At 44.0% G+C, this 12860-nt stretch overlaps 1 protein-coding gene across 16 annotated transcripts in view; it reads right to left on the bottom strand.

Annotated features, from left to right (window-relative positions):
• ARFGEF1 (ARF guanine nucleotide exchange factor 1) overlaps positions 1-12860 on the bottom strand; it is a 170271-nt gene that overhangs the window by 25733 nt on the left and 131678 nt on the right. For 11 of the 16 annotated variants that reach the window (NM_001413186.1, NM_001413187.1, NM_001413185.1 and 8 more), the window contains 5 exons: positions 12240-12372; positions 5437-5576; positions 3840-4008; positions 2224-2362; positions 1153-1270 (listed from right to left, as the gene is read on the bottom strand). In NM_001413186.1, coding sequence (NP_001400115.1) covers positions 1153-1270; positions 2224-2362; positions 3840-4008; positions 5437-5576; positions 12240-12372 — 699 coding nt within the window. Of the gene's footprint in view, positions 1-646; positions 1271-2223; positions 2363-3839; positions 4009-5436; positions 5577-12239; positions 12373-12860 lie in introns of those variants that run through there. The other 5 variants (NM_001413192.1, NM_001413191.1, NM_001413194.1 and 2 more) reach the window with 3 other exon arrangements.

Genomic DNA, 12860 nt, shown 5'->3' on the forward strand with positions numbered 1-12860 from the left:
AGAGACAGAAGTGTTAGAAAAACTCACTTCATACAAACACTATTCACTTACATATCCTTATTTTGAAAAACATTTGTCTGTATATCTTTGACAAACTTTTAGTAATTTAGCACTGTTTTTCCTGGGTAATAAGCAGCAGGCAAGTGAGTACAAACTAGAGTTGAGATTTTATAAGCTATGGGTTACTGAAATTTTATCTTTTGTTACATAAAAATTTTAAGTTTTGGGGAAAATTCTACCCAACACTGCAATATAAAATCTAAACAGTTCTTCAGGCAAAGCTACATACGTTTCACATGTACAGTTCAATTGCTATACTTTGGCTGTATCTTCACAGTAGTTCCTTCATCTCTGAACTCTAGTCTGCAGCCTCCTTTCCTACCCCTTCTGTACCCCTCCAGATCCAGGGAAGCAGTGAGACATATTATGACCAAAAAAAAAAAAGCCAGCTGTGGAGTAACAGAGGCTGGGATTTAGAGCCCTTGGCCTTTCAAGTAGTGGGCCACATCACTAGGCATTTTTAAACCTATTCTAGGGTCACAGCAAAGCAGCCTGTATGTGTGAGCTGTAAGTTGCTATTTTTTTTTCTAAGAATAGAGTGTACATTTTTGAAAACCTTAAATATGCACTTATATTTACAGTCATATATGTGTATTTTATCTTTATTTCTACTGGTTTAAAATTCTTAGATGAGGCCCATTCACTAGGGACTCTGGGTTACCTGGAACCACTAAATATGCCAAAGGAACAGCTGCAGCCCAGAGCACAGGCCCAGGAACCAGATGTAGTCTTGAGTAGTAGGCAGAGTACAAGGCCATGAGGTGGTTGGACAGCAGTTTTCAAAATGGGGCAAAGGGGGAGATTCCTGGGGTCATAATGGGAACTTGTCAAGGTATCCCAAGGGATTCTGATCCCTCGCCTACTGAATCCCCTAGAGAACTGCTAATTAGTGAACAAAGCTGGGTAAGGGGGGAGAAAAGCAAGGACTGAGGAAGATACAGCAAGGCCACTGGTGGCTTTGCACAAGCAGCAGTGCAGCCTGGGCACTGCTTGATTCATCTCTGAGAGCTCTTGCACGGCGGCTCTGGGACCCCGCATCCCAATGCGAATTGGGCTAGAAATGTGGGGCTGGATTCGAAGCCTCATACTTACCCTATTATCACTTATCTTTAGAACTTTAGTTAGAAACAAAAGCAGTAAGTTAGTCCAGGCTTCTCGATGACTTTCTGATGTTAGAGTGAGGAAGTAACTTAGTGCTTCACTGCAGACACTGCAAAAGAAAAGGTTTCCTTTAATGTTACTTGCGTATCTACTGGTCCCCATATTCACCGAGAAAGAGCAATCATGAACATAGTAGTGAATATGAACTATTCAAGAACATGTTAGATCCCATCTGTTTACATTAGCTGGAGTGTCAACATAAACATGCTTTTCAAATTGGGAAGAAAACCAAACATGTTAAAAGAAGCCATTGTAACTTACCAGGAAACCCACATTTTCCTAATTTTCTAAGTTTCTTTCAATGCAAAGCTGCCGTGTGGCAGGTGGCACATGCAAAGCTTAGTTTCAAGAGACCTGGACTGGAATCTGAGGCGACTCCTCTCTTCACTGACCCTTGTGAGGCCCTAGATCACAAGGCCCTGTGGGGCCTTAATCAATCAGTCTTGTCAATCAAATGGGATAACAGAGACTAGGTGATCCCTTAAAATTCTAAAATGTATTTAATTGGCCTCAGAACATCTATTCCGTAAGTAGATATGATAATACAATGCAGATGACCGTATTCTTTCTGAATGGCATGTTTCATTCTTAGCCTGAGTTTACACGTTAGTTGGCTTAAAGTAAAAGAGTAAAAAAAGTAACGCTAAGAAAAACTCCAAATATTTTTTTCGAAGTAAATGCAGGCAGGCAAGTTTTCACTTATACAAATGATCTGTAAAAATGGGACTATCTTATGACATTAAAAAGGCCTATAAATGATATCATAGTTCACAGTTTTAAAACAGAAAACCTCCTTTGTCCTGCATGTTAGACATGATTTGGCCACATGTCACTAAAGCACACTCATCTCTAAGACTGAATTTAATTTTTACAACTGCTCTGTGGAATAGGGGCATCCAGGCCCCAAAGCCTCAGCTGTCAGCATGGTCCCGCCGGTGCCTCTTTCCTGCCCGGCACCACGTGGCTACCTGGTCAGAGATGGAAATCAGTCAAAAGTCTTACTTCAAAAGCCTCTGCTGGACCTCCTCCCAGGCACTAACGCGGCTCTCATCCATGTACATCCGGAAGAGAATGCGCAGCCCACAGGCCAGGCTGCTGGTCTCCTGCTTCAGAAGGTTGGGCTTGGATTTGCCTTTGAATCCTGCAGAAAAGGGAAGTTTCTGGGATTAGTTTGGGAAGGCATCTTATGTAAAGGTGAAACAGCCCGTATGGAGGCACATTTTGTTTGTGCTCAGCCATCAGCATCTGCTGCTTACAAAACGGAGCCACAGCAGCCTGATGTGAAGGTGATTTCCATGTCCAGAATTCCCTCCCTATTCAAGCTGGGGATATGAGATATAAAAAAACTTGTGGCCTGGGAAGGTGGAACCCTTCACATGAAACTGCACTTGAATCCCCAAAGCTGTGGAAGGGGCCATGTGCTCTGCCTGCGCCAGGGGCCTCAGATAAACAGGGGCAACCCCCAGGAGGTGAGAACTGCTCTGTCAGAGGTCTGATGGGTCCGGTGTGTGTGGACACAAGGAGGCTCTATCAGCTCAGCAGGAAGAGGCCCAGTGGAATGGTGGCAAAAACTTGGGTAGAAAAAAAGGGGAAAAATAAGTACAGACTACTCTTTCCAGAAGTTAGGTTGTAAAGGAAAGAGAATGGCACAGCTGTTTCAAATAAGCAAACATTAAGCACCAAACCCTTTTGATACAGTTTGATAAGTATCAGCCCCTTCTTTTTCTCTGCCTTATTCTGCAGCCCCTCATCCTCCCAGCACTGTTTTGCAACTCATAATTATATTTCTTTCTTTTTTCTTTTCTTTTTTTAAGAGATGGGGTCTCACTGTGTTGCCCAGGCTGGAGGGGAGTAGTGTGATCATGGCTCACTGCAGCCTCAAACTCCTGGGCTCAAGTGATCCTCCCACTTCAGCCTCCCGAGTAGCTGGGATTACAGGTATGCGACACCATGCCCCGCTAATTTTTAATTTCTTGTAGAGACAGGGTCTTGCTATGTTGGCCAGGGTGGTTTCGAACTTCTGGCCCCAAGCAATCATCCTGCCTCAGCCACCCGAGTAGCCGGAACTACAGGTGTGAGTCACCACAGCTGGCTCTATTTTTTAAATTAAAAAATTAACAATGTCACTTTGGTTTATAATAAAAGCTTATTTTTTGTTTAAAATGTCTAACTTGTTCTAGAACAAATATACCTCACATCCCAATAAATTCACCTTCACTCTGAGCTCTGGCCACTCCCAGTAAACAGAGAAGCCATTCAAATACACATGCCAGGTTTTGTGTGTGCGACTTTTACACATATTTATTTCCTAATGAAAAGACAGCTTTTGTCATGCCAATGAGTATCAACAAGAAGGTCCAGGTTGGGTAAACAAGATGAAAGAACAATGTAAGTCAAATAATAGACCAAGGGGGAAAAAATCCACCCAAGCAGTTATCTGGCTTACTGTAGACCAGAAAAGGGCCTCGTTGTGAGGTTACTTTATTACTGTTAAGGTCAGAGTACATATAGTGACATGCACAGACCTATAGCAGACAGTCAATGAGTTCTGAGACCTGTATGTACCTGTCCCACATCCATCAACAGTAAACATTAAATGTGAGGCGTGTGCAGCTTACCTGCTTTCCACAGGGCAGTCCTCTGTTCGTTGTTGGAATTAAACGCTTTTGCAAATCTATGTGACTCTAATAAGCAGTCCAGTAGCTTAAAAAGTTGTTGTGATGTTAAAAAGCGGTACATTCCTTGGTCTTGAGTATCAACGCGAACATCAAAGTCCACCGCATCTCTCTTTGGAAAACAAACCACCCCAGCATATACACACAGTCACAATAATTTTACTTGATTTACAACTCAATGCTCCCCAAAGACCAGTTTTACAAGAAAGCCACAGATACTCAGCTTGATCTAACCTAACAGAAAGTAAGGGAAGGTCCACCTTCCAGTACGCATCCTCGTCCCCAAGCACCACCTCCCATTAGTCCAGACCCTCCTGGACTCCCAACTCCCTGGCCCTGCGTTCCTCAGCCCCTCAAGTCCTCCCTTCTCTTCTCAACTGCTATGGAGTCCATGCATCATTTTAATTATTCTCTTTCACAACCCCTCCTCTTCTTTTTAGTAACTGGCTGGCAAAATGGCCATGTCATCATGTGTGACTGGAGAAAGCAGACTGGTTTCTCTCTAAACCAGCGGGCTCGGTGCTAGCCCAGCCCTTGGCAGACCTTGGCCTAGGCCACACTCCTGGCCAACCAGCTCAAGTTTTCACTTCTCAAGTAGCTAAAACATTCTTCCAAATCTCACATGGTAGATGACTTTTCTTCCCATCTCAGTGAGAAACCAGAAGCTGGCAGAGGAGGTCTCTCACAAGCTCCTACCCCAAACGTACCAGACTTCCTGCATCCACAACCCATCCCCCAGCCCTCCCCCTGCCGCCACATGGGAACTGTCTGGGCTTCTACCCCAGGTGATTCCCACTCTGTATGAGGTACTATCTCCACTCACTCAAAAACATGGCCCTAGAAATTGCCCCTCTCTTGCCTACAGTCAGTTTTTCTCTCCCTACTGGAAAGCTCTTACCAGTGAACACGCTGCCATATCACCAATCTGGAGAACAAAACATAGCAAACCCCTCTCTTGAACCCCTCACAATCCAGCTATCACATTTCTCTGTGCCTTTACAGCAAAACTTCTTAACAGAGTACTGGCTGAGTCCACATTCTCTCTTCTCTCTCTCTCTCCCCATTATAATTATGCTTTTGTCCTCAATTTAACATTTAACACACTGTTAAGGTTCCAAAGTCGTCCAAACAGTTAGAGGGCAATTCTCAGGTGTAATATCACTTGACCTATCCAGAGCATTTAACAAGCGACTGATCACATGCTTCTTCTTAAAACATTTTCTTCATCTGACTTCCCCGACAACTGACACCTGCTTCCCCGTGCCTCCCCATGCCTCATGGATTCTCGTCTTCAGTCTCTGCTAGCTGCCTCATCTCCAGGAGCTGTAGAGGATGAGGTCCCTAGTAATCAGTTGCTGACCCTCCTCCCTGCTCTAGCTAACCTTATTACCTTGTGATGGGATCCAGTCTCATGGTTTAAAAGGACATCTGTATGATGAAGGCCCCACAAACTAATTCTCTAGCCTAACTCTACAGCCCAGACTGCTATACCTAACTTCCTACTTACACAAAAAAAGCAGCTGTCCTCCTATCTCCTTACCTGTGCTGCAGCTAAGTTTTCTGCATCTTCTTTCTTACTTGTGGCTGGGAAGAAGACAATGTTGTCGATAGTCTGGATGAGTTCCAGCTGCACAACACATTTAATCAACAGGGCAGCAAACAATTTTTGTTCTGGAAATTCTGTGAGGAAACCCCCCCCAATGCACATGCAAACAAAAAATTATTTTGAATCCTTTATAATTTCCATGATATTACAATGCTAAGGAAACATCAATATGTATTCACATATCACACTGAGAAGGACATACTGCTTTTGCACACAGGCACTACTCAGTAAAAGTTTAACTGATATTTAGAAAAGCCTCGGAAAAGTAATTTTTAAAATAAAAGTGCCCTACATAATTTAGAACAAGCTTGTCCAACCCACAGCCTGTATGTGGCCCAGGACAGCTTTGAATGCAGCCCAACACAAATTCATAAACTTTCTTAAAACATTATGAGATTTTTTTTTTCTTAGCTCACTATTTTTCATAGTAGAAAGAAACAGGGATTGTAAGTCGCCCAGCATTGGAGCCACTGCCCCAAGACTGCCTAGTAGGCAGCTCCCTTTGGGCAATTGTCTGCCTCCTGGAAAGCTTCCTGCCAAAGCTGCCCTGAGAATCTGGGATGGAGGTGTGGCCATGTGGTCTGGGTCCCCTGGGACTATACATGTTAGTGTATTTTATGAGTGGTCCAAGACAATTCTTCTTCCAATGTGGCTCAGGGAAGCCAAAAGACTGGACACCCCTGATTTAGAACAATAATATATTCAAGATGTTCCCGCTACAAATTTTTTAATTCAACAAATGGATAAAAATGTAACAAATGGATAAAAACCTAAAACTGAAGTATCAACTGTAAACCCAAGTCTGACCTCTGAAAACAGGGAATAAAGGGGCTGGGCACGGTGGCTCATGCCTGTAATCCCAGCACTCTGGGAAGCCGAGGCAGTTGAATCACCTGAGGTCAGGAGTTCAAGACCAGCCTGCTCAACATGATGAAACCCCATCTTTACAAAGCTACAAAAAAATGTGCCAGGCATGGTTGCGCACACTTGTAATCCCAGCTACTCTGGAGGCTGAAGCAAGAGAATTGCTGGAACCCAGGAGGCAGAGGTTACAGTGAACCAAGATCACACCACTGCACTCCAGCCTGGGCAAGAGAGAGAGACTCCGTCTCAAAAAAATAAATAAATAAATAAATAAATAAATAAATAAAATTAAAATAAAAAAATAGGTTATATGAAAACCTATGACATAAGAAAATAACAGAACAGATCCATGTGAGACAGGAAGTGAGGGCAGCCAAGACTCCGGATTAACCTATGCAATACTGTGGTTTGGCCACAGCACATGTTTTATTTGGATCCAGATTCGTAGTTGTGACTGAAATTACCTCTTATTTTCAAAGACATCCATCAGCAAAGAAGTCTATAAAAAGTTAAGCCGGGGCCGGGTGCAATGGCTCATGCCTGTAATCCCAGCACTTTGGGAGGCCAAGGCAGGTGGATTGCCTGAGGTCAGGAGTTCGAGACCAGGTTGGCCCACATGGTGAAACCCCATCTCTACTAAAAATACAAAAATTAGCCGGGTGTGGTGGCGTGTGCCTGTAGTCCCAGCTACTCGGGAGGCTGAGGCAGAAGAATGGCTTGATCCCGGGAGGCGGAGGTTGCAGTGAGCTGAGATGACACCACTGCACTCCAGCCTGGGCAACAGAGCCAGATTTTATCTTTAAAAAAAAAAAAAAAAAAAAAAAAGTTAAGCTGAACACATTACTTCAAAAGTAACCAAACTGCAAAGTAACAAAAGTGCCACCCATGTTCCCCTCATCAGCTATACACAGTCACATCCCTCTATCCTGAACACATTTGTTCAACAGGGCGTTTCTGATAGTCCGCCGGCCCATGTGGACACACTCACGGGCGTGCTCCCCTTGTCTGACCATGCCAGCTAAGTAGCTAAGCCAATGCAGCAGCGCAAGGTTAGAAAAGAGGACTCAACTCCTGAGATGCTGCTGCCACGCAGCCCAGGGGACCCAGACCACACGGCCACGCCTCCATCTCAGATTCTCAGGGGCAGCTTTGGCAGGAAGCTTTCCAGGAGGCAGACAACTGCCCAAAGGGAGCTGCCTACTAGACAGTCTTGGGGCAATGGCTTCAATGCTGGGCGACTTACAATCCCTGTTTCTTTCTACTATGAAAAACATTTTACTACAAATTCCCTTTTCTGGCACTAATGTGTGGAAGACAAATTCATGTTTTAGGGATTTTGGGGGGCAGAAAAATAACTTACTTTCATTTATTCTTATTGAGATCATTAATGAAGGCTCCTTTCCAGATACTGTTCATAAATGCTATTCTATTTAACGTTTAGTTCTTAGTACTAGATCACAAGTTAAAAAAACAAAACAAAGAAACCTGTAAGTCCTACGGTTATCTCTTCCTCTTAAATCTTGTCTTCTTAGTCCTTTATTACAGTGACAGCGGCATGGGCAGTCATCCATTCACTCCCTCATTCAAGTCAGAAAAACATCTCAGTCCCAGGGGCAAAAGACTCCTAGTAGCACCTGGACTCCAGAATGGACTTAGCAGTAGATGGAGGTCTTAGGAGACCTATTTTCATCAGTTCCAACGTGAGTTGCTCAGGGGTGTTAAGAGCTTCCAGCAGGGACCCAAACAGTTCTAGTGACCCCAAGAATTTGGCAGATGAGGCTGTACTCTGAACAGGGATGCCAAGCCTCTTCATAGTTTCTCGTGCCCTTTGAGACCTGGACAGGGATCCTAACTACAGTCTCACTAGCAAGGACCAGAAGCACATTTGATGACAATATCTATTTGGACAAATTTCAGTCATGACAAGGTCTGACACTGCCAGGGTTATATTAGTCAACCATTTCATTGTCCACACAACAGAGAGCAAAGCTAAGCAGATTTTAACTATGTGGGACTACAGGTACTGAATCAACTCGACAGAGCAGTGGTGCAGAAAGAATTGAGGCTGGTCTGTGCTGTGATTCTTTTCACTGAGTTGGAGAGTCAGATGCAGCGGCCTCCCCATCAAACAGGAGAACCACAACCTATCCACCAAGGAAGAGGGCTCATGGGAGCAGGGTGGCCGCTTGTTCTTCCTCCAGCTCTACCTGTTCTGAGTCAACAGTTCCAGGATGAACCTCGCCTAAAAGTCTTCCAGGGGAGCGAGAGTGGAATGTCTGGCTTAAGGATGCAGTCTGACCCCACAGCTCACAGTGGCAGGAAAGCAGAGCCCTTGCCCCAGGAAAAAGTAGCCAAGTGCACACTTTCCACTATGTGAAGACCAAGTCCTGCCCTCACAAAGCTAAGTGTGTTTAAATTCAGTCTTGAGGCTGAGAGTGAGAAAAGCCACTCGCTATTCTTTCCTCTTGGCCTTTCTTGGTGCAGACTGAAGCTGCAAAGGATTCCTACATGAACCATTCTGTTCTTTGGAGAACAGAAATGAAAAATGAAACTCGGCCACTCACTACCACCTATTTCCTCTTTAAGAAATTAGCAAAATACAGTGACTGAAGATAGAAGGTCCTTTCAAGTAGGATATGAAGAACTGTAAGCATCTAGGATTAAAAAATTCCCTGAAAAAAATTAAATCAAAATGGATCAACGACCTAAATCAAAGAGCTAGAAGAATAAAACTTCATAGGCCAGGCACAGTGGCTCACGCCTTTAATCCCAGCACTTTGGGAGGCCAGGCAGGTGGATCACTTGAGGCCCAGAGTTTGAGACGAGCCTGGCCAACATGGCGAAACCCCATCTCTACTAAAAATCCAAAAATTAGCCAGGTGTAGTGGCATGTGCCTGTAATCCCAGCCACTCAGGAGGCTGAGGCAGGAGAATCGCTTGAACCCAGGAGGTGGAAGTTGCAGTGAGCCGAGATCACACCACTGCACTCCAGCCTGAGCGACAGAGTGAGACTCCATCTCAAAAAAAAAAAAAAAAAAACCAACAAAAAAAACACTTCATAGAAGACAACATTGGGGGAAATGCTCATGACCTTGGATTTTGACAATGACACCAAAGGCATGACTAACAAAAGGAAACAGAAAAATTGGACTTCATCAAAATTTAAAAACAGGCAAAGGACATGAACACAAATTTCTCCAAATAAGATATACAAATGGTCAACAAGCATATGAAAAGATGGTTAACAACACTAATCATTATGGAAGTGCCAGTCAAAACCACAATGAGGTAAACTTCTCACCCACTAGAATGGTTATCATTTAACAACAACAAAAAAGGCGCTGGCAAAGATGTGGAAAAACTGGAATTGCTGGTGGGAATGTAAAATGGTGCAGCCACTGGCTATAGAAAATTGCTTGGTGGTTCCTCAAGAAGTTAAACATAGAATTACCCTATGAGCTAGCAATTCCACTCCTAGGTAGATAATGCAAAAGAACTGAAAACAGGTATTCAAATGATATTTGTACACAACAGTTTGTAGCAGAACTATTCATGACAACTACAGGTGAAACAAATACAAACGTCCATCATCAGACAAATGGATAAACAAAATGTGGTCTATACATTCAGTGGACTATTAGTAATAAAAAGGAATGAATTACTGATTATGCTACAACATGATGCGTCTTGAAAACACTGTGAGAGAAGACAGACACAAAAGGTTGTATTTTGTATGATTCCATTTATATGAAATATGCAGAATAGGCAATTCACAAACACAGCTAATTAGTGGCTGCCAGGGGCTGGGGAAGAGGAGAAGAAGAAGTGGCTGTATAACAGTTATGGGGCTGGGGGGCTCCCTTTAGGAGTGATGAAAATGCTTTGGATCTAGATAGAGGTGGTGGCTGTGAATGTACTAAATGCCACTGAATTATTATTCACTTGCATATTGTTATTTCTGTTATGTAAATTTCACCTCAGGTTTTAAAAAGTTCTCAAAGCTGTCCTGTTCTCCTCTAAGGAGGCTGTGGTCTTTTCTAGGTGTTGTAATTTTCCTTCAGCAAATGGAACTGAATTGATCCAGTAAAAAAGTAAAGGGTTCCTCTTTTTTGTGAAAAGGTGAGGGGAGGAATACAGGTGACCTGTGGATCCCTGTATGGAGACAGGGGTGTGGGCAGCAGTGAGGGAAATGGGCACAGGCCGACTAAGGTTGGGGTGCAGTGTGGAGAAAAGGGTTGCTCCTTAAAAAGTAGGGTGCTCCTGCCGGGCACGGTGGCTCATGCCTGTAATCCCAGCACTTTGGGAGGCCAAGCCGGGTGGATCACGAGGTCAGGAGATCGAGACCACCCTGACTACCGTGGTGAAACCCGGTCTCTACTAAAGAATAAAAAAAAAATTAATTGGGTATGGTGGCAGGCACCTGTAGTCCCAGCTACTCGGGAGGCTGAGGCAGGAGAATGGCGTGAACCCGGGAGGTGGAGCTTGCCGTGAGCCAAGATCACACCACTATACTCCAGCCTGGGTGACAGAGCAAGACTCCGTCTCAAAAAAAAAAAAAAAAAAAAGAAAAACAATAGGGTGCTCCTGGACAGACGTCGTGGCACAAGCCTGTAATCCAAGCATGTTGGGAAGCTGAGGTGGGTGGATGGCCTGAGCTCAGGAGTTCAAGATCAGCCTGGGCAACATGGCAAAACCCTGTCCCTACAAAAAAATATAAAAAATTAGCTGGGCGTGATGAGGTGTGCCTGTAGTCCCAGCTACTCGGGAGGCTAAGGTGGGAAGATCGCTTGAGCCTGGAGGTTGAGGCTGCAGTGAGCCGAGATCACACTCCAGCCTGGGTGACAGAGTGAGACTCTGTCTCAAAAAAAACCAAAACCAAAAACAACAACAAAAACAAGTGGGGTGCTCCTGCTTAGAAAGCAACGGTCCTTCACTACTTCCCGTTGCAGATGGGTAGAGGAAGGCATGCTAGGCCCTACTTTTGCAGACAGAACATGGGGTTGGTTGGCATGCAGAAGGGGGTGGAGAAAGAAGACTCAGGTGCTCGTTGGCGGAAAAAGCTGACATTTCAGGATCAGCAGAGTTCTTGACCTTCTGCAAGAGGGCATCTATCTACCAGAGGATGTCCAAATTAGGATAAACACAGTAAAGAAGTGATGACATGGCCAGGCGCAGTGGCTCACGCCTGTAATCCCAGCACTTTGGGAGGCTGAGGCGGGCGGATCATAAGGTCAGGAGTTTGAGACCAGCCTGGCCAACATGGTGAAACCCTGTCTCTACTAAAACTACAAAAATCAGCTGGAGGTGATGGTGGGCACCTGTAATCCCAGCTACTCGGGAGGCTGAGGCAGGAGAATCATTTGAACCTGGGAGGTGGAGGTTGCAGTGAGCATCACTGCACTCCAGCGTAGGCGACAGGGTGAGACTCCGTCTCAAAAAAAAAAAAAACAAAAGTGGCCGGGCATAGTGGCTCACACTGTAATCCCAGCACTTTGGGAGGCTGAGGCGGGCAGATCACAAGGTCAGGAGTTCAAGACCAGCCTGGCCAATATGGTGAAACCCCGTCTCGACTAAAAATACAAAAATTAGCCGGGCATGGTGGTACACACTTGTAGTCCCAGCTACCCGGGAGGCTGAGGCAGAAGAATTGCTTGAACCCGGGAGGCGGAGGTTGCAGTGAGCTACGATGGCGTGCCACTGTACTCCAGACTGGGCGACAGAGTGAAACTCCGTCTCAAAAAAAAAAAAAAAAAAAAGAAGTGATGACACAATCAATTATAGTATATGCTTGTTAATAATAAAAGTAAAACCAAAAATGTTAACCCTTTCCTACATAAAACACAAATTTATTTTTATTTAGAGAAATAACTCACTTGCTGTAGATTTAATTTTGCTGACTTCTTCATTAACAGCAGACGCAGAAACCAGTGGTGCTTGTGGTCTGTTATCCACAGACCTTGGTTGAATAGAATCATGAATATCTACAGACTTCTGTGATATTGTATCCTAATAAATAAAAAAAAAATCACTGTAAGTATGGTTAATAAAGTTTATGGGTGAAAATATTTTCTAAAACGCTATTTTAAAAAATTATATTATGTCCCTATGAAAATGATGTTTTACACATTACAGTTATAACACAATCAGAAAATTATTTAAAATTACCTGTACATAGAGAAAAGTTGACTTTCTGACCCTCACTGGGCTCAGGTCTGAAACCATCCAACAGCAACAGATAAAAATGCGAAACTTCAAAGTGTAGAGAAACTGGTCAGCAATACCCACAAGTGTTCATGAAATCTAAACAGACACCTTTTGCAGGGGTGAATTTAGAAAAGGATCTTCTGTCACCCATGGACCCAGGGACTAGAAAGGTCAATGTGAAGGTGACTATCTAGGAGTGTCGTATCATGAAGAGATGCTGGACCCTGGAGTCCAACAGACCTACACAAGAATTAGGCTCCAGTATTATTTATTTATTTACTTTTTTGAGA

The sequence above is a fragment of the Homo sapiens genome, chromosome 8 (genome assembly GCF_000001405.40).
Source record: "Homo sapiens chromosome 8, GRCh38.p14 Primary Assembly".
NCBI lineage: Eukaryota > Metazoa > Chordata > Mammalia > Primates > Hominidae > Homo > Homo sapiens.